This window comes from Homo sapiens, chromosome 3 (genome assembly GCF_000001405.40).
Source record: "Homo sapiens chromosome 3, GRCh38.p14 Primary Assembly".
NCBI classification, from domain to species: domain Eukaryota; kingdom Metazoa; phylum Chordata; class Mammalia; order Primates; family Hominidae; genus Homo; species Homo sapiens.
The window spans coordinates 81,688,001-81,711,124 of NC_000003.12; the positions used below are offsets into that span (position 1 = coordinate 81,688,001).

The window sequence follows — 23,124 nt, forward strand, 5'->3', positions numbered from 1 at the left end:
CCACACCAAAAAATCTTGCTTGCTACCCCATCACCTTTCCTAAGCATATCAAAACCTCTAAAAAGCAGAGCCATTCTAACAGATCTGCAGATGCATGAGTGGAAAATAAATGCTTACTATTGTTACACAAAGTATGGAAATAGTGTGCTACTCCGCACTACAGTGGATATAGCTGACTGGTGCACCAATTAAGAGTGATAACTCCCTCTGAACTCCCACAAGTAGCCTAAACCTACATCTACCATAGCACTTACTAACTACACTTAATACATTTGCTTATACATAGCACTTACTAATTTGTCTATATTGATTTGTTCTTCCCTTGACTGCCAGCTTTCTGAAGGTAGGGATCAAGTTTTATTCTTCTTTGTACCCCAACGCCTAACACAGAATCACCCACAGAATAAGTACTCAACAAGGATTTACTAAAAGAAATTTTCACCTTTTTATGCCAAATGAAGATGATATTAAGTTAACTTGGCAACTGAACAGGTAATAAAGAATACAATTAACCCAAAAAAACATTTATTTTTAGTTTTGCAAATAAGCATAAATAGTATTCTTTTAATAAGACTCCATTATATACTAAGATTATATTAATAAGAATTATACCTGTGTTTAGCAAATAATATAAATGATTAAAATGCACAAAAGATTTAGGTGGTTCCTTTTGTTAATCTTTTCAATTACTATGGGTCACTAACCAATTGTGTAGACCAAGATTTAAAAGCAAAATTACAGTAATTTCAAAAAACATGAATGACATGAATGTATTTACTTGTATTTTAAAACAGATCTTAATTTTCTCTTTTATGTCCTAAATGCCAAAAATATTATATATACTATATATATTTAATGCTATATGTAAATTACACAGGCAATTACTATTATGTATATAAACTATATCCATTCAACATATTAAATATCACCATTTAAAAAAAGGAATATTCTAAAATGTTCAATAGGCTATTAATCTAAAAATTCACAAAATGCCAAATTATCTATGCCCAAACACTAGTAGCATCTAAAATAAACCTCTATATGTGATTTCTACATTTATAAGACATATAGGACATAATTTATTAGACTATGTTCCTTTTTTTCTGAAATCTAAAATCCAAGAAAATTGAATCACTTTTAAATGAACCAATGTGTTTATTAGATCTGTAGGGTGTAAGAAAACTTCAATTGCTACTCTATGTCATGCTGATACAGGCATAAACTCTCAGGTTAAACTTCTCTCTTTGTAGTACAAGTTTCAATTTGGATTTTAAAAAGCTTGAGGCCATCAATTTTCACATCTTTCCTCACTCCCATTTCAGAAATCAGGGACCCAAGTTTAGGAAAATACTGGCAAGTTATATGGAGGCTTAACATGTTCAAGAATGAATCTGACTGCCATTAGGGCAATTCCGTTAAAATAAAGAACATTTAATCCACCAACAATTGTCATGTTTTCTGTCTTTAATGTAAGAACCATTTGTTTAAAGTCAAACAAAGTAAATAGTCATGTTTTTTATTAACTACTGATTAGATTTTAAGAACTCTTAAATTTGAAACAAAATCATTAAAATGTTTTTGTCACTTTTAACTACTTCATAAAATAGCCCGCAAGGCCCTGCGTTATCATCTCACACACAGCCTCCCATCACTAGCGGGCGAGTCCACTCCACCATTTTGAACTAAGCCTCTTCCAGCCTCTCTTGATCATTGGCCATATTGAGATAGCCAGGAGGGAAGGGGTGCCCAGAGAAACTCCAACCAGTCTGGGCCCCGGGAGAGGTATGCTCTGTGGCATGTTTGGCTGGGAAGTTAGTGTTGTTTGCAGTGGGGAGGAGCCCGGCCCCTCCTCTTCCTGGGTGGAACCAGGGATTCAATTCAAAGCACACCAGCGGGGATTCTAGCTTTGTGGAGGATCCCTATTTCCCATTTTTTCCCTTTTCACCCAATAAAACTGTGCCTTACTCACCCTTCAAATTGTCTGTGAGCCTAATCTTCCGTGGCTGTGTGACAAGGCCCTGTATTTAGCTGAACTAAGGAAAAGTCATGCAACAATAGGTCCACTAACAAACATTATAAATCTAATGCTCTAGAGACAGAGAACTATGTGCTTTATCTGTGCCTACCCCAGTTTCTAATGAGCACAGTAAGATCTTCACAACTATGAAGTCCTGCCAGAAATAATTGGGTCCTCCAGAAATGAAGTGGACTTAAGTTCTCTGACATCCACTAGACACTCAACACCAACCAAAGTCATATGTTCATCCCCTCAGCGCTAACACTGTGTGTGCATACTTCGTCTCTAAATTCCTCTTACTAAGCTTCGCAAAGAAATGAATAAACTATATCTCAGTTGTAACACTATCAACCAAATAAGACAGGAAGCACTAGATACAAAAATACCAACCAAAAAGTAGTAAGACAGATACTTGTCCAGCTCTGGTACTGGATCAGGCACACAGCAAACAATACATGTGCATTAAATAAACAGTTACCAGAACTACTCACTATTTTATAGTTACATGTACATGCCTGTTTAAAACTACAATAGTAAATTTTTCCAATATATTTATGAAACATTTGCTAATCAATTAATTGGGATATCATTAGCACTTATCCTAACAGAATGAATAACTCCAAGCCATTCCATAACAGCATCGTCACCATGAAACACAAATTTAAATGACGGAAATCCTCTTTTTTGCTGTTGTTGTTTAATAAAAGGGTTAAACCATTTATGACTGTCTTTATTTTGTTTCTATTTTATTCTACTTTTTATTGTCTTTATCATCTTGCTGTTTTCCTCATTGTTGTCTCATTTTATTTATGATTCCCTTTATTGTCTTGCTATATTATTGTCCTACGCTAGACATTACTATTGTCTGTAAGCATGATTAAGTCCTACTAACACAAAGCAAAAATGAATTAGTAAAGAAACACAGTGAACATACTAGATTTTAGGAACTATGCTAACAGCTCTAGCATACAAAATTTCATTTTATCGTACTTCCTGTGGAGCACTGTACACAGGAAGCTCTTCCTATATGGCCGATGATGAAGGTGTAAAACAAAATAAAGTCCAGAGGAGGATAATCCATCTGCTTGCAACAAGGGACTCCAATTTTCTGTATGCCTAACATGACCATGCCTTCTTGTTCAGCCTCTGAAAGTGAATGAATCTCGATCTTAAATGAGAAAAGATTAACAACTCTATAATGTTGCAATTTCCTTCCAGTTAATGATAATATATTTACAGGAGATTTCAATTTGTGATTCCTCACCCTGTGAAGAGGAAGAAAAAGGAGAACAAAAATGGACTATTTTATACAAAAGCTTTTCCTTTAAAAAATGAAATGAAAATTATAGTAAACGACTTAGCTTTTAACAATGTATTTTGGTTTAATATGTACAATTACTCTGAGATACTTTGTGCTAGTCAGCATGACCTAATCATAAAAAAAATAATAAAGTTTGAATTCTAAAGTTGGTTGGATGCAGTGGCTCACACCTGTAGCCCAAGAAGGCCGAGGCAGGAGGAGGCCTTGGAGAGGGGATCACTTGAGCCCAGGAGTTCGACACCAGCCTAGGCAACATACCAAGACACTCCTCTCTATAAAAAATAATAAAAATTAGTGGCGTATGATAGCACACGCCTGTAGTCTCAGCTACTCTGGAAGCTGAGGCAGAAGAACTGCTGGAACCCAGGAGTTGGAGGCCGCATTAAGCCATGATCATGTACACCTTCCTAGGTGACAGAGCAAGACCAGGTCTCAAAAATAATTAATTAATTAATTTTTTAAATAAAATAATACAGTTGAATCAAGCACCTAAGGTAATATTATTATTCATCTGGGTAGATCTTAGGCAAAAGTAAACCAATAAAAGAGAAAACCCCACTTCTGACTTAGTAACTCTTAGAGGAAGGGATCTGTAACGAGTTGACGGACAGGAGCCAAGGGCGTGATCATAGATTGGGGCTGTGGCAAATGCTCTAAACCTTATTACCCATGCCTTCTCCTATGGCTTTTCTCAGGTGGGAAAACTGCCATGACCTACACAGCCCAGACTTCAGCATCTTCTTACAACAAGGGACACTCACATTCTGAAACCAGGTGATACAGAGCCAGGGCTGGGGCAAGTACAGTGAGGACTGGTAGTTGGCCAACACATCCTTCTATATTCACCATATTTTTATTTTTAATGCCTTGGATTAAAAGTGCTCAATTAGATAGAATCACAGAATAAGTTTGGAGCCCTCTAATTTCTTCTAATTAACCTAAAATGATTACATAAAGGGGAAGTTTGCAATTTGGCCAACTAATGTGCACAATATACAGTCTCGTTTATGTTTGCTTTTCAACCTCAATAACTTCATGCTTCATATGCTTTAACTTTAGAAGAACAATGTCCATTGGGCAGTATTATGAATAAGGACCTACCCCATCAGGTGAAAACATTAAAACACCAGGAAATATAGCCAGCTGTGCTAACGAGGTGTTAGGAGTTGAGAATGCAGAGCCCCCTTTTGCTCTCAGTTTTTAGTTTGGTTTGTTAAGTTTGGTAACGTTCTCCATCAAGAAAAAAGTGAACCATATTTTGATCCAATATACTGTTATAAAATAGTTTCAGAAACTTTCTTTATATGTTCATTGTAATAATTCAATTAAAATGTGCCTTTTTTGGACTAAACTTTATAAAGAATTCCTATTAAAGGCAAGTACTGAATACAAGTTAAATACAAACTAACTATAAATTTAATTTTTTAAACCTATTTCTAACTTAAAGAAAGGTTAAAGCAATCTACTTTTAATTAAATATATCTATGGCAACTTAATTTTAAATCTTAAGGTTTTGCAACCCAATTTTTCATGATAAGAATATTACTAAAACTCATCTGCATTGAATGACAATCTTCCATTCCTCTCGGCTCTGACTCCATTATCTCTCTCATGGGAATGAATGCTTTGCTATGACTGATGATGAATAAGATATATAGGACAAATGATGCACTTTTTCATTTAAAAGACTAAAAAGGAAATTCACTTTAGTCTCCTTTCTGCCTAGTTTCATTAAACTCTAAATGCAGCTATTCTAAGAGATTTTTTCTAGCTCAGATCAGCTTGACAAAAAAGGTCTCATGTATCATTTAAATCAATTACAGATTCTCTGGACATATACCTCAAACTTTCAGTCCAACAGTTTTGGTTTAAAAATAAACACATAAAATATTACCAAAAAAAATATGCAATCAAACACGATCCTCAAAAAACAGTATCCTGAAGGAGTATATTGTTTATAATTATTATTAAATTATATTCCAAGAGTTACTTTTTGACTTTAGAAAGTATTAGGAAAGTATTGGTAATTACTTCCTAACGTATCTTTATAAAATTGTATCTATTTTTATACCAAAAAAATCACATAATGGCCACAACTACTTATAATAACATCAAAATTTCAATTTAATGTTATTAATATATAAGCTCAGGCAATGACTGCTGGTTAGGAAGAAACCATCCATTTCCTCCGCTAGAAGAGAAGGTTATTGTCCCTCTTGTGCATTGCTTGAATTTCCAAGACTTACTTAACACAGTATTTGGCACACAGAAGAGACTCAATAAGTACTGTTACTTAAGGGAAGGAAAGCAGGGGTAGATGAGAAAGAAGCTATTGAATTTAAATTCTGGATCTTTCATATAGTCTTCTAATATCAAGAACCCTGACAGATTTTTGAAACACACAAACACACACACACAACCACCTATATATATCATATACATATAAACTATATGTATAGTGAATTACATGTGAATATCAACACTATTTAGAGGAAAATACAATTTTAACAGAGTAAGCACCTTATTTTAAGATCATATTCTGTAACTACAGAAAAAAAAGGAAGAGAATAAAACTTTGATATTACTTGTCTAGAGTTTAGATGTATTGGTAATCATGTATAAACTGTTTTATGATATTTTAGAAGTCTGTAATAATTGCTACAAAGTTAATTGCTTGTTTTATGTGAATTAAGAAATAAAGTACCATCTTTTTTCCCTAAGAACTCAGAGCCTTTTTGTAAGCCTGAAACTCTCTTTTTAACACTAGTAACTAGGCTTGCTGAGGAATAAGACGATCAAAGCAATATCTAAGAAAAAGGAAGGATGGAAGGAAATGAGGGAAGGGGGGAGAAAAGGAGTGGGAGGTAGAGAACGAAGAAACTGAAAGAGAGAAGGAAAAGGAGGAGGAAGGGAGGGAAAAAGGGAGGAGAGAAGATAGGAGGGAGGAACAAATGAATCAAAAATGTTTTCTTCCTCTTTGAACAGAAAGATACATAATAGTATGTACAAATGTAGCCATTTAAAGAAAGTAGGGGTCACTTAGAAGCAAATAAAATCAGAAATGGCTCTGGTGATTTATGTTCTTTTGACACAGCTGCTTCAAGAGGCACAGCCTTACTCTAGATTGCAAGAGTGGGCAAAGGAGGAGGGGAGAATTCTCCAGCTCCCCGCCTCCTTCTACTCTCCAGTCTTCCACTAGTGCTACCCACTAAACCAACTCAACAGAAGCAGAAGCCAAGGGAGCTCGGCTTGGAAATGTGGAGAGTACGGCAGAGAAGGATGAGTGAAAGGATCATAGGGCAAATAAGGAAATGACCAACACAGCAAAATATTGAATTTGGTAAGAGCATCAATAACCAAGACAACCCAAGAGAATCAAAACTATATTGTTACCCAGTGTAACGCCTATGTGACATAGCTGAATTTCTACCCTGCCCTAACTCTGCTTATCCTTAAGAAACAGGATGCCTATGATACAGTTTCCTTTGTAGCCAGACTAGCTGAGACTGGTTAGGACTAAGACAGCCGACTGAAGGACGTCAAAAAGACCTCAGGCTTCATTATAATCTCATTTCCATGCTAAATGACACTCCCATCAGTGCCATGACAGTTCACAGTCGCCAAGACAATGACTGGAAGAGGCCATAAAAGGACAAAAAAGGCAGCACTCCAGTTCTGAAATGTTCACTGCCCACTTGCAGAAAAATCGTGAATATTCCTTTTGCTTTTAATGTCCAACTCCTTCATTAGAGAAACACTACATTTTAATCCCCTCAACCTTCACTAGTCGAGAAGTTGATTGGTGAGCCAAGCTCCCTCTTCTCAATTTCACGGCCACTGAATAAAGCCTGTACTACTTGACACACATTTTCATAACAGTAAAATTCACAAGAAATAATAGAAACAACCCAAATGACCATCTACTGAGGAATGAATAAACAAAATGTGGACTACCTATACAGTGTAATTTTATTTGGCCATAAAGAGTACTGTTACATGCTACAAAACAGATGAACTTTAAAAATATTATGCTAAATGAAAGAAGCCAGACACAAAAGCCCAGATGTATGATTCCATTTATATGACATGTCCAGAATAGGCGAAGCCATAGAGACAGAAACTAGATTGGTGGTTGACAGGGGTTGGTAGGAAGAAGAGGGGAATTAGAACTAACTACTAACAGGTATGAGGTTTCTTTTGGGGTGACGGAAGTGTTCTGAAACTAGATAGTAATAATGGTTGCACAACATAAAAATATAGTAAAAACCACTGAAGTGTGTACTTTAAAGAAGTGAATGTTATGTTATATGAATATCCCTCAACTTTTAAAATATTAGAATGAAAAAGAAAGAAATAAAATAAATACAAAAAGCGAGAGTATTAACAGGCCTTCAAGATTTGGGTTAAAACTCACTTATGTGTCCATGGTTGTTAAAAGACAATGACATCAATATTGAAGGTCATTCCTTCTTGCTGAAAAAAAGTGTGGTATTATTTTCAGCTTCCTGATCGCTAAATAATACATCTGAAGCGATTCCGCCACTGATTTACAAGCAAGTAAGATGGCTAAGTCATTTTTTCAGGAGTCCCTAATGAGAGGGGGGTCTCTGGCAGTCATAATTAAAATGAATACTTTCATAGTTTTACATGATGAACTGGCAAGCTATAATACAAAGAAGCAAGTTTCCTTTTTTTCCGCCCCCCCAAGATCTATTCAAGCTTAAAAGTACCTCTAATTTTTTTCCTTAAAAGGAAATAGTTCAACAGGGGTTGAAAATATAAAGAATACAAGACAGTAATAGGGAAAAGAGGAAAATAATCTGAAATGAAGAGAGAGCTACAGATTCAAAGCCTGACAATAAACCAGACCAAGCGTCAAGACTAATCAGTGAATTCCAATTCACCTGCATGAAACAACTGCTTGGATGAGCAAAAACAATGCTGTACAGCTTTGACAGATTTACCACATTTCTGTAAACCTCTCCACAATGCAAAACGATACTCAGATAAGCTACCTGTGGCATAAGAAAGAAATTATCAACAAATTAAATGGAAGTTGCCTTAAATGTCTATCATAAGTGACAGCTTCTTAGAATAATGCAATTTGAACTTAAAATGAATAGTTTTGTTGTGATCACGATACAAAAAATTTGATATATGTTGTACTCAGTCACACTTGGGGCTAGATGTGACTGTTATAAAACAGAACATCACTTCTCTAAGAAAACATCTAACTTGATAAGAGAATATGAATAATGCACTTTGTGTAAGTAAATGGCGAGCTTAACAAAGCCAATTTGATAGATAAAATTATGAAAATTTAAAGACAACTGCTAAAGAACAACCATAAACAAGATAATTTTACAGACATTAACTGCAAGTGGAATACCAAAACTGAAACCTAAGAAAAAGTACTGTATTAACAGAGCATAAATTTTGAACAAAATATTTTTAAAAAGCAATATGAGGCTAGGAAATGTATATTTATGTTACACAATTCAAAATCTACTTTCTAGCATTAAGGTCCATACCAGGAAAAACTCTCTCAAACCATGTATTTCCTATATTCTGACACCACAACAATCATCAACACAGAAGAGGACTTCTGTGACCAAAGGTATGGGAACTTCTCCCCACCACCAAGCAGCAGACACCAACTGGGTGTCCTCCAATTCAATCCTGACACAATCTACCAGGAGACAGTGTCAGATCCCACAGGTTGGGGGCTCAGTCCCCAAGACTGCCCCCCACACCAGTAAACAGCAGTCACAAGTCTGGGCCTCCGGAACTTCAAGTTGGGATTCCCATGGTCCCCTCTTTGGGTTCAATTAGTTTGCTGGAGTGGCTCACAGAATTCAGGAAAGCACTTACTTACGTTTACCAGTTTTGTATAAAGGATATTGCAAAGGATACAGACAAAGACACGCATAGGGTAAGGTATGGGAGAAAGGGCAGACAACATCTTTTTTTTTTTTTTTTGAGGCGGAGTCTCGCTCTGTCATCCAGGCTGGAGTGCAGGGGTGTGATCTCGGCTCACTGCAACCTCCGTCTCCCAGGTTCAAGCGATTCTCCTGCCTCAACCTCCCCAGTAGCTGGGCCTACAGGCACCTGCCACCATGCCCAGCTAATTTTTTTGTATTTTTAGTGGAGACAGGATTTCACCGTGTTAGCCAGGATGGTCTCAATCTCCTGACCTCGTGATCCGCTGGCCTTGGCCTCGCAAAGTGCTGGGATTACAGGCGTGAGCCACTGCGCCTGGCCCAGGGCAGACAACTTCTATGCCCTCTCTGGGCAAGCCACCCCAATGTGTTCAGCTATCAGGAAGCTCTTGGAACCCAGTTCTCTTGGGTTTTTGTGGAAGCATGCCTTCCCCCAGGGTATGAGGCAGGACCCTCTCAGGGTAGAGTCTTAACAACCACAATCAGAAAGGTGGGGAAAGATTAGAGTCCTGCTTTGGAGCAGGTGGAAGGAAGAAGGAAGAAAGATTCTGTTTCCTGAGGCCTACCCTTAAAGTCTAACACACGCAGCATTTTAACGAAAGACTGTAACAAGGGACATGGGAATTGTGAGCCATGAACCATGGATAAAAACCTAATATATAAAATATCTATTACATTTTAGGTATTATATATTATATTAGGTATGATATCTATTAGGTATAATATATTAGGTGTTATATATTATATATATAATTTTATATATATATTAGTTTTATATATATATATGTGTATATATATATATATATCTTACAACACGACAAGGTCTCTAACAGCAATCTCCTAAAATCCCAGAAGGTAAAGATGCTTTTCAGTAAAAATAATCCCATTAGGCATTATAGCAAAGCTCCATGATCCAGCACAATTGGGGCCAAAAGTTGGTATGTATGTTGAAAATATTAGTTAAAAGAGGGAGTAATAAAGTACACACACACACAAAACAGTAAACATGTTATTTTAACTTAAAACCTAAATAGAAATATACATTCGCCCATCTTGTCACATAAAACTAAAGTTTGGGCCCTCTGATAAGGATTTTGTAGCATCTGTCTTATATGAACATACATCTCCAATGCAACGTTTATAATTCCCAACTCCCTCTGGACAAAAATGAATGAAAGCTAAAAGGTTTATGTAAAATAATCTACATGCAAAAGTCAATTAGGTTTATATCTTTTCTTTTTAAGTTCATACTTAATTCAAAATACTTTTTAAAACTTGTCCTTACTGAGATTTTCCCAATATTCAATAACTTTCTTTCCTGTCATAGTCATAGATCATCACTTTATATAAAATTATGATATAGAATTATAATGGGAAAAAGTAGCATGGATGGGATTGGGGGAGGAAACTGACACACAGTATAACTGGTAGAAGCAGAACTGTATACCTGTAGTAGACTATAGTCTACTACCTGTGCTCAGTATTCTGTGGGAATCAGTCAGCGGCATTTACAATGAAATCTGTTAAGCAAAAGTAAGTTCACTATGTCTAGTAAACAGAGATTGGTTAAGTAAACCTCCATTGTACATATACTCCATTGAAAGTGAACAACCCATTAGGTAAAATAAACTAAGGTGGTGAGAGCAACGAAATCAGGTTGGAAAGCCAAAGGAAGTACTGCAAAACTTTCTACAAAACACTGTTTGCTGAATGCTTACTTTAGGTTCACATACGTCAAAGAGGTCACTTCTCAGCATAGGTACTGGTTTGGTTAACAAACCTAAAGCCTTGTGCCTTGTAGTTCGCTATCACTTTGCCAAAATAAACAGTTTCTAGAATCCCAAGGCTGCCTCCAAAAACCTGCTTTCTAGGAAAAATTTCCAATAAACTTAATTGAAGGGAAGCCACATAGCAAAAATGCATTAACAGAGAACCCAGAGGGAGTTGAAATGTCTATTGAACAAACGACTCCTTGAAGGTCTCTCTGAGTTCAGAAGTCAAGAAATCTTCTCAACAATCTGTCTGGATCACTACCCTGCCAAAACAATTCTCTTCCCACAAAAACTGTAAGATATCTAGAATATCAAAAAATATGGAAAGTTTACACTGTATACCACAAAGATGGGTCATACGTTATTGTTCCCAATTTTTCATGAGCCTTATATTAGTCAGGGTTCTCTTAGAGGGACAGAACTAATAGGATAGATATATAAAGGGGAGTTTATTAAGAATTAACTTACGCAATGGCAAGGTTCCACAATAGGCCGTCTGCAAGCTGAGGAGCAAGGAGAGCCACTCCAAGTCCCAAAACTGAAGAATTTGGAGTCTGACGTTCAAGGGCTTTAAGCATCCAGCATGGGAGAAAGATGTAGGCTGGGAAACTAGGCCCTTATCTTTTTCAAATTGTTCTCCTGCTTTATATTCACTGGCAGCTGATTATATTGCGCCCACCAGATTAAGGGTGGATCTGCCTTCCCCAGTCCACTGACTCAAATGTTAATCTCTTTTGGCAACACCCACACAGACACACCCAGGATTAAAACTTTGTATCCCTCAATCCAATCCAGTTGACACTCAGTATTAACCATCACAAGCCTCCATAAAAGATGATTTGGCCTTCATGCCTCATTGACATAAGGCTTGGCCATGTTATTTGGCTAATGAAATGTAAGTGCAAATCACATATGTTACTTACAAGCTGAAGTTTTTAGAGCCATCCTAGAGTTTCTTCATTGCTCTTTCTCTCTCTCATGTGATCAGTGGCTCCCCATATTGGGGTTACTCCATTAACCTGTATTCTGGAGTGAATTTGACAGTTGCGGGAGAGCCACAGCTGACCACTACAGCGAAAATGAACAAGAAAGAGGCCTTTGTTGTTGTAAGCCATCAAAATGTTGGAGTTGTTTGTAAAATGTCATGCCACAGTGAAAGCTGACTAATAGAGACAAAAAAGATTAGATGAAGAAACAGAATCCAAAAGAAGCTGGTATCAGAATTATACCCCGAACCAGAAACGGCTTCCAACCAGTAAAAAATGATCGCTAATTTTCGTATCAGTGTTTCTCAGACTATGGTTATGTACCAATTACCCTTCTTAAAAAACTTTAATTTCACTATAGACCAATAATTATGTAAATAAAATTAATTATTCAAAAACTGAAAGAAAAAATATTTAAAACTCAAGCCCAAGTTTTTGTATTGTAATTATTAGATTCTACAGAAATAAAATGACCCTGCCAAATTGCTATCAACATTCCTAAATGCTTATTCCCAATTTCTGACAATATCACTGAAAACAGATTACAGTTCACAGAACCCACTGGTCCACAGAGCACATGTTGAGTAGCACGGTTTCAGAGCACGTGGGATTAAGAAATATGAAGGCTTTTATGACACTGAAAACTTATATAACTGAAAAAAAAATTATAGACAAAACTGGCCCAAAAAAACAGTTAAAAACTTCTTCTTGCTATCTTTCCCACTCTGCAAAAATATCAGTGGTTCCTTTTTCTATAGGCATAAAAATCAAGGTTTGTTTCTTTTTTCCTTTCTTTCAGTCTATCAGTGATAGACATTTAGGTTATTTGAAAGGTGCCTACCTCCCAGACTTAGTAATTTTAAATGAAATGCTTTCCGTTATAGCAAATAAGAACCCAATTATTTTATATTGACATATGTAGTTTACTGCCTTTCTCTCTTATTATCATCTAGATACTGGAAAGCAGCTAGTTATTTTCAATTATTTAGCAACCTGCAATAAACATGATTGAGAACCAAAACTCCAAGTGTATTTTAAATCACATCTAATTTTCTAAAGAATGAGTCTTTGCTGTATTGCAGATGATTCAAAGTTTTAGAAATTCATCTCAGCCCTTTAAACTAGTTTCTAGTTTAACCAGAAAGACTTTTTCAGTGGTAAGAGTCCAATCCTGATGAATGTCAATATATATACACCATCCTTCTAGGTTGCTGCGGCAGCTGTTAGCTAAAAAAACTAGTTGTTTAAAAACGACTGGACGAAAAAGAAATGATTGTTTTATTTTCTCTCAAATAAAGAAAAATATAAGTACTATATTTAAAGTGAAGCTGTTTTCCTACTAGTTTTTTAAAATGTGGATGGCAAATCTGCCTTAGTTTTGGCAAAACAGACTATTTTACTTTTGCAAGGTTCAAATGCCTTTTGAAATTAACAGTAATTTTCTGAAATAAATAAAAAGACCTTTGCAAATAAGAGGGTTTTTTTTTTAATACTGCCAATTAACATTTCTGTAGCACTGATTAAGGTACAAAATTTCTCACATTCACAATCTAGTTAGTACCTAGAGCAAACCAGTCAGGCAGTTAAAACAATTATGATCACATTTATCCCCAACAAGCCAGAGGAAGAACCATTGTTTAGAGAGCTCAACTGTGTTTTCAAACTCTAAATCCCATCATTTTTTATTTTACACACCAATTCATGATGATTTATTTATTTTTTATTTGTATTTATCTATTTATTTTCTGGTAAAGATAGGGTCTATCTCTGTTGCCCAAGATGGTCTCAAACACCTGAATGATCCTCCCACCTCAGCATCCCAAAGTGCTAGGATTACAGATTATAGGTGTTAGCCACTGAACCCAGCAGGCAATTTCTTTCTTAAATAGCATTTATATTTGATTATTCTAAGTACCTGTAACTAAAATAGTCTCAGGTCAGTAGGCACAAAAAAAAAAAAGAAAAAAAATCTTTCTTTTTGCTCAACTATTATTAGGAAAAAACGGATTTTATGTTAATAAGGGAAAAATAAAATACAGAATCCCTGGAGAGAGAGAGAGAGAGAGAGTGTGTGTGTGTGTGTGTGTGTGTGTGTGTGTGTGTGTGTGTGTGTGTGTGTGTGTGTTAAGGCATGGTTAGTTCAGTTATCTAAGAGTATATTTTCACGTAGGTTGTCATCACAATAAAAATTCTGTGTTCACTAAAGTCATACTGACCCACGTGTATATCTTTTTTTACAAAGAAACCTTCTAAATGCATCATTGGCTCAGAATTCAGGCTCCACTCTCAATTTTCAAATTGTTTGTTTTTGAAAGTCAAAGCCCATTAGTGAAAAAAAGTTGAGATCCCATTCACAAAGAGACTTTGAGATCCTATAACTTTGGACATAAAAAAGACATCCTTTCTTCTAAAAAAAGAAAATAAATTAGACATTTAAGTTTCCCAATATACTGCCTGTCCTTAACTATTTTCTGTCACAATTTCATTTACTGTAGTCTTTTCTTATCTCTTCAATAAAAATAAAGGCCCACCGATTACATCTGCTGCTTTTCATGCCCTTAGTTACTAAATATTTGTTGATTGAGAATCATTAAATGAATGTTATCACAAGGATATGGAGAAATTTGAAATTATGCAATACATCTTTATAAAGAGTGGAATTTTAAAAGTCAATGTAAATTGGGATAAAAAGTTAACAGAGGACATTTTTACAATAAAATATGGGCCAGGTAATTTTAGTTTCCTGTTTACAAAACATTTTTTTAATTACTGTACTTTTAACAGTTAAGCATTAAGTCCAAGAACATAAAATTTTTAAATGCAATTCTACAAACACACACAGCGCAACTTTTAATAAATGAGCAATAGTCATTATGACAGTTCACAAATCTAGTTTTCATATAGTCCCTTTCCTATATTTTTATGTTTATAGAAACTATTAAGTGGATTTCATCATAAATATGGGGGTGGGGGAACCAAATGCAACTATCAGATATTAATGGTGGTTCTTATAGTAGTTGGGTATCTTTACATAAAAATTTAACTTAAACATTCTCAATATCCTCAACCTCTGCATGGAATTTTAAAAAAGAAAACTAGTGAAATAGAATGCCTTGATTATAGGCAGATTTCTAAATGGTCTAGTAACAAAAAGTCAAGGCAGTCACTTAGAGAAGATGGGGAAATATTGTGTTTATGTAAAAGAAAAAATTATTAATAACAACCATGACTTAAGTGAGTAGTCTCTTATCCTCAAAATACATTTAATAATTACCATCAGGCCAAGCTAATCTGAATTATCAGATCTCGTGGTCTTTTACAAAAGTGTCCATGAAATTTTCTAACAACTCTCGAGACACATCTAATTTTTGGGACTACACCATGAATTATTTTCAGTCCTTAGACCTGTACTTTCCAGTAAAGAAGCCAGTAGCTACAAGAGGCGATAGAGCACTTGAACTGAGGCTAGTGCAACTTAGAAACTGAATTTTATATTTTATTTTATCTTAAGTTATTAATTTAAATTTTAAAAGTGTTATTCAAGTCAGTTACTGGAAACCTCTTAATTTTGTTTGGAAAAAACTGGGTATATGAACATACTTTTAAACTGAAAATTTTATTAAACTTAAATTTAAATTAAGTGCAGTCTGCCCTCAAGTTGCACATCTACTGATTCAACCAATCTTAGATTGAAAATATTTGGAAAAGAAAAGTGGATGGTTGCATCTGTACTGAACACTTAAACAGTCTATTTTTTCTGGTCATTATTCCATAAACAATACAGTATAACAAATATTTATACAGCATTTACATTGTATTGGGTATTGTAAATAATCCAGACATGATTGAAAGTATAAGGGAAGATGTGCCTAGGTTATATGCAAATACTACATCATTTTATACAAGAGACTTAAGCATCCTTGGATTTTGGTATCCACGAGAAGTTGTAGAACAAGTTCCCCATTGACACCGAAGGATTACTGTATTTGCAATGAAAACTTACCATCTTAATTAAGACTTGCTGTACCCAGATTTCAAAGATGTGGTACAAGAAAAGAATGAAATTCTCATCAATAAAATTTACATTGATTAAATATTAAAATGATAATATTTTATATACTAGGTAAATATAATTTATTATTAAATTTTACTCTACTGTTCTCCTTTCACCTTTTTAATATTGTTACTAAAATTTCTGAATTACGTAAGTGGCTTGCATTTTATTTCTGTTGGACAGTGCTGTCTTAGACAATGCATATTAATATAAAACCCAAAGTTCTGTTAAGTCAGGTTCCTTGAAGAATAATTTACATTGCATTAAAATTTGTTCTTTATACATGTACAGTTCTATAAATGTTGATAAATTCATACAATCAGGTAACCAGCACCACAATCAGGATATAAAACATTTTCACCACCCCAAAAATTCCCTCACGTCCCTCTGTAATCAACCTTTACCCACCACCCCAACCCCTGACAACAATGATCTGTTATCTGTCCCCACAGTTTTGCTGTTTCTAAAACGTCATAAAAATTGAATAACACAGCATGTAGACTTTTGAGCCCAGTGAAATCAAATTTTAAATATTATACCATTCTATGGTATTAAAGGATTATGATCATTTTGATATTCCTTTTCCTTGTATCAAGAACCTTTACCAAGGCCTATTTTTTCCAGTTATTCCACTTTCAAAACTGAACTTTCATCCTTGTCATCATTCTAGTAATGTATTTACCCTTCAAGAATAAAACTTAGTAGATTGTATTACAGTTATTTACATTACAGTCCTTCCTCCCACCAGACTCTAAGCTAGAAACCTGACTTTGCTTTCCATAGCGTTAACTCTGTCTAGTGGAGTTAACAGTGCAAATGACAATGCTGACAAGATATTTCCCACTGTGTTCTAAAACAAGGTAAAGGAAAAAAAGAAATGAGTGATGGAGGTTACACCCCAGATTAGATATCTACTTTTACTGAAGACTCCGAAAAGAGTATAAGGCTATACAGAGGATCCAAGAACTATGATGCCAGCCAGCCAGGTGTGAATGCTAGCGGAGCTTTATGCCAATATTTTTACCTGGATTGCTATTGGTTTTGTCAGAGCTTGCTAACAAAGTTAAGTAAATTTGGAGTTGTCTTCCTAATAGCATTTTTCTCATAAACCTTGTTATTTCTAGTACATGATTTTACAGAACATAAAGTCTTTCAAGAATACACATATCACATTATAACAGAAACAGCTGCACCATACAAAGAGCTTAATAAATTCTAAGGCTCTATCTGAAAAGTCTGATATTTATTTGTAATCATTAAAGTTCATATGGTTAAATACATGAAATATAAGAAATATATGTATTAAATAGTTAATAAGATATTACTATTTAGTTCAATGCTTTCAAGTACTTACTAAAATCTCCAGTAAGAAAAACTCCTTCTGCTCCCGGGGCCCATTCTTTGCAGTATAAACCACCATCAGCACATCTGTGGACGCCAAATGATTCATAGCCTCTGGAAAACTTATCAATACCACCTTCATTTTCTCCAATGTTCTTCAAAATTTGGCTAAACTGCTTATACCTTTGAAGAAGTATGAAAGAAAATGAGTTAGAAAATTAAATAGTCTTCTAGAAAAGCTACTGTAATTAAGTAACTGCTTTAGTCTTATTCAGGGAAAAAAAGACATTATTAAAGAAGAATAATATAAATAATTTCATTTATTAGTAGAGGCTACCTGGTAGGATAAAATCATTCTTATTTAAAATAAACTGAGCTAATCTAACTAGCATTTTTTGTAACTTCAAGCACTGGTATGAGAGAGGAAATATGATGGTTATACTATTTCATGAATTTTTTTAAAAACTAGCATTATAGCAACTTCCATGTCAAGACAGTGTAATGGAACAGAATCTCTACATCTCTCTCCTCTGATTCCTAAGAAAATGAAATAACACAGTCAAAATTCAGCAAGAAAAATAAAATTAGCCTACTGCAGGGTTTGGCAAACTTTTCCTGTAAAGGGGCAGACGGCAAATATTTTAGGCTTTGTCAGCCATATGGTCTCTGTCACAGCTACTCGAGGGTGTCTCTGAAGTACGAAAGGGGCCATGGACAAAAAGTTAATGAGTGGGTGTGGCTGTGTTCCAATAACACTTTATTTACAAAAAACAGGTAGTGGGCCAGATTTGGCCTGCAGCCTTTTCCTTCCCTAAAGCAACTAAGCATGTCAAGAACATACACCATATCAAAGCACAAAAGCCAGTGGCCACAAGAAGAAATCACAGATTCCTAAGCAGGGCAAAGAACAGCACATGCCTGCTCCTGACCCTCTCCCAGTTCCCCTGGATCAGGTACTGGTACACCAAAAAGTACTACCCTATTTTCATTAGTATCCCCTATATCCAGTAAGAAACAAACTAGGAAAAACTTGGTAAAACTGGAGAAGTAAACCATGTGCCAGGTGCTCTATGTCAGAAGTGAAGGTTCCAGAACTATACAATGAACTAGGCAATGCCAATAAGCTTCTCTACACCTCCCCATACCCTCAGGGGTAAGGAATCTTTCCCAGAAAGATGGCAGGAATCGAGGCACGGGATGTCCAGGGAATATACAAAATTTGAGATGCAGAATAATGAACCACATCTCAACTTAGCTACATAGAAAATGGACCTTTTTACAAATACTTCACATTATACAACTTAATTAAAAATAAACTCAAAAGAATAAGAGCTGAAAGATTATATGACAACAGAATGAAAAGTAAAAGACTGCAGACTTAAGGAAATAAATGGAGGAATAAAGTATATCAATAGATAATGATGAGTTAGACTCAACAAAAAAAAGTACATAAGTATAGCAAAAATAGCAAATTATTAAATGAATAAATAATTGAGAATTGAAATAATTAAAGAAAAACAATGAATTTGAATATATTAAAAAGAACCTAAGAGATACCCAACATAGACAAAAAAAAATGATCCAAATATGGATATAGCTGCTGACTGAAAAATAAAACCAAATAAAATGAATATGGAAGATATAAAACTGGAAAATTATCCTAAAGAATTAAATCCACATATTAAAAAGAGCATACAATGTTTTAAGAAAGGTTTGGGAAACAAACACACACAAAATGTATCCCAATTTAAGCAACTGAAATTCAAAAGATAAAAGAAATGAGTCTATAGACAACCAGGCAGAAAAAGGCAACATTAATTAAAAACCAAAAGATAAAGCCAACTCCACACAATTCTAAGAAGGAAAAGTAATCTAGGAATATCCTAGGAGACAAGTTTCTATTCATATCTAAGGGATTTTTTTAAATATTGTCAAATTTAAAATTGAGTTTTAGTCAATGACACTAATGAACCATTCTAGAAGAAAAATAAGCTACTTTCCATTTTTCTAAATGGCAATTAAAAATTAAAAACAAACACATACAAGACTGAACAGTTATTGTAGGAGTGTGTCTAAGAACTGACTCCTTAAATATAGAACCTTGGCTAGACAACTGTGGAACTGTATGAATGTGATCATGAAAAAAGGATCTCAACTGACAAAGTAAAAATATTATATTAAAAAAAGGCATGAGTGAAAGGGGGATGAAATTTTATAGCAGAGAGTCACTCAACACAGAGTAAAATTTAAGGTTGTCATCATTATACTTTTTAATTTCTTTATTAATCTTAGATGAGCATTTAAGAAATAACTATTTAAGGTAAAGAAATTTGTATACGAATTCCAATAATTTCTTCTTTCCATTTCACTTTAGTTTCATTGTTTAAAGTTAACAGACATTTATTTTCTCATGTCTCATTATAGTATTTCTATCAAGCATTTTCTTTAACCTGCTATCTAAAGATAGGCATATAAAAATATCAAGAATGATATACCCTTAATATCAGTGGGATTATTTTGGTGAGGTTTCTTTTTACTTTCTCTGTTGCATTGTTCTAATCACGTATAACAAATAACTACCATTTTAAAAAATGAAGTACAGTTTTCCTAAAACTATAATTTTTCACATTATTAAAACAGTAACATAATTTTATATAATATTCATAGGAATTTTACTGAGTATGTAAAACTAGGTTTATAAAATTTGAGGAACTGAAAGCATTTGAAATAGATCTATGGAGAAAAACTGAGTTTCTGAAATAGTATTAAGCAGAAGCAAAAATTCAGTATGTGATGAAAGGGCATTTCAAAACCATAAGGAAAGGATGGCTTATTCAATAAAATATTGAAATCTATAAGTTTGTCATAAAAAAGTAGATCTCTAAAACCAAAATAACTTCCAGAGAAATCAAATTTATAAACTTTAATATTTTAAAAATAAGTAAGTCCAAGAGATCATGGAAAATGAAATACAAGTGGCCAATAAACATTGGAAACAATGATCAAACTCATATATAACTAAAGAAGTGCAAACCTAAACTTCAAAATTCAATTTTCCACCTAAAAGACCCAGAAACATATGATAGTCTATATGGATGGGATATGGTTCAGGAGAAAAGACATTTTTAAATGCTCTTGGTTGAAATATAAATTAGAAAACAATTTGGCAACAGCTATGAAAATTTCAAAATCACACTCTTCAAGTAACTCTATTTTTAGAAATTTGTTCTTTGGATATACATCACACAAAGATGCAAAGACATCTATGTATATAATAATATTTATTCTTTATGGCACTATTTATACTACAAAACCATGGAAAATAACCCACTTTTGCAACAATGGGAAACTAGGTGAATAACTGTGGAATATCCAAATAATAAATTATATGACAACCATCAAAAAAAATGAGGTAGGGCAAAATGTGCTGATATGGAATCTTGCCCGAAATAATCCCAGTCTCACAGATAGTGTTATTCAAGGGGACATAAACTGAACCACCCCAAGGAGCCAGGCCAGGCAGGTGTAACAATTATGAGGAGCTGACCCCACACAAGAAACACAAAATTGCAAAGCTGATGATAACATAATTAAGGAAAACAAGGCAGAAAGAAACTGTTGAGATGGAGAGTACAAGCCTCATCTAAAAGCACAGCCTCTATTTAATAGTTACACCTCATTGCTGCGTAGCATAGTTTGTCCAATCATGTAATTATTCAAGAACATAAAAAAATACAGATTTTTCTATGAACTCTTCCTAATTTAAACAGTGGCAACTGTTTCAAAATACTTAAAATACTTACCTAGACGAACAAACTAGATATGCAGGCCTGATGGAATACCATATGCAAACTCTTTAAATCATATGAGAAAAGGTTCTTTGTGTGTGTGTTTTTTTAACCTCTTCCCAATATCAGTCATCTATACTTCTTGGAATATGGAAATGCTAATCCATATTAAGTTATGTAAGTAATAACAGGCAATAAAATGATCAGTGTGGAACAATCAACAAAACAAAAACTGAACTTAGGGTAAAAAATATACACACACATACACCCTCATAATACAAGGAAAACTACTGATTTTCCAAAAAGGTATAACGTTGGGAGGATAAACAAATGTGGTAGTAATTTTACTTTCAATGTTGGTATCATACCTTATGATAAATTTTTAGATTTATGTAAAGTTTAAGTTTAAAAAATAATCATTTTTAGGAAGTTTCTTAAAGTATTTTCAAACGTCCCATTTAGTAAAATTTCCATGGAACCACGATTATAGCATTATATTACTTTAACTAAGTATCTTGACTTCCCTCAAGGTCAGCCCTACAGCTTCTGATACAGAAATACACATTGTACTTTGAAATCATTGTGGCTCAAAAAGGAAAATGCCTGAGGATACAGCAAGCTCATCATGCCTGTGCCCTCTCCTACTACAGTCATCTCTCCTAATATTTTGCTATGGATTTACAGGATATTTAAAAACTAGGTCAAATTTCTGGTAACCAAGAACATAAAATGAAACTACTACAGGAACTAGCATTTTGTATAGATATAAAGAACTGTTATAAAAATTATCAGATGTGACGTCTATATCAATGTTTTAAATCCTCTGTTACATAGGAAGAGACAGAGGCAAACATAAAGACATAAATTGTCCAAGATCAAGAAGGTAATAAGCAATAAGGACATCACACATCATTAATCACAAAAGGTAGATTTCAAGTTAAATCTCAAATTAAAAGTCATATTTCACTTTTAAAGAAAGTTATTTATGTTGTTTTACTCTTAAGGTAATTAATCTTTTTTTTTTTTTTTTTTTTGAGACGGACTCTCACTCTGTTGCCCAGGCTGGAGTGCAGTGCCGCGATCTCGGCTCACTACAAGCTCCGCCTCCCAGGTTCACGCCATTCTCCTGCCTCAGCCTCCCGAGCAGCTGGGACTACAGGCACCCACCACCACGCCCGGCTTATTTTAAGGTAATTAATTTTATAATTATATTTAGCCTTATAATTATATTTAATTAATTTAATCTTATATTTAAGAGAATCAGGGGTAGCTGATATTAGCTTTATTTCTAGAAATAGTCCACGTTCAAATCCTAACTCTGTTACACACCAAATGTGACTCTGAATAAATCCCTTAATCTCCTTTTTCCTAATTTTTTTAACATGTTAATTGGGGGCTCGGGGGAACCTCATAGATTGTAAGGAATCAATGAAACAGCAGGAGCATTACCCGCAATATTCAATAAATGGTGGCTGGAACTTTTCTCCACCTTGAAGTGGCAACACTATAGTATACTTTTTACTTTATCAATGTTCTTTTACTTATTACACTTGCTTAGATTTTAAAACACATATTAGCTATTAGCAACATTACGATTTTTCCCAAGTTCCAAAAGTGTTTAAGAATGCTTTCCATTTTTTTCCTGGAATAGAAAAATACAAATATAAATACACTAACACATATCACACACTCCAAATTGATTTGAATATGTGAGTTATGGAAAGTCTGGAAGAAAATAAAGTTGACTGGACTACCCAGGGTGGGACGGAGGGGCGGCAGGGAGTTACTACTAGGCGATAGGTATGAAAACAAAATGAAACAAACTAAAATCTTTGCTCTCCTGGAAGGCAGTTGGTTCATCCCAGATCAGTACTGAAGCTCTAATTACAGAAAGGACTGTGAACAC

The 23,124-nt window shown here is 34.5% G+C and overlaps 1 protein-coding gene across 2 annotated transcripts in view; it reads right to left on the reverse strand.

The window, feature by feature from the left end:
• The window catches only part of GBE1 (1,4-alpha-glucan branching enzyme 1), a 271,943-nt gene that overhangs the window by 198,298 nt on the left and 50,521 nt on the right, over window positions 1-23,124 (reverse strand). For both annotated transcript variants that reach the window (XR_007095662.1, NM_000158.4), the window contains exon 2: window positions 17,444-17,613. Coding sequence is in view for 1 of the 2 variants with exons in the window: in NM_000158.4 (NP_000149.4) it covers window positions 17,444-17,613 (170 nt within the window). In the remaining variant the exon portion in view is untranslated. The remainder of the gene's footprint in view (window positions 1-17,443; window positions 17,614-23,124) is intronic.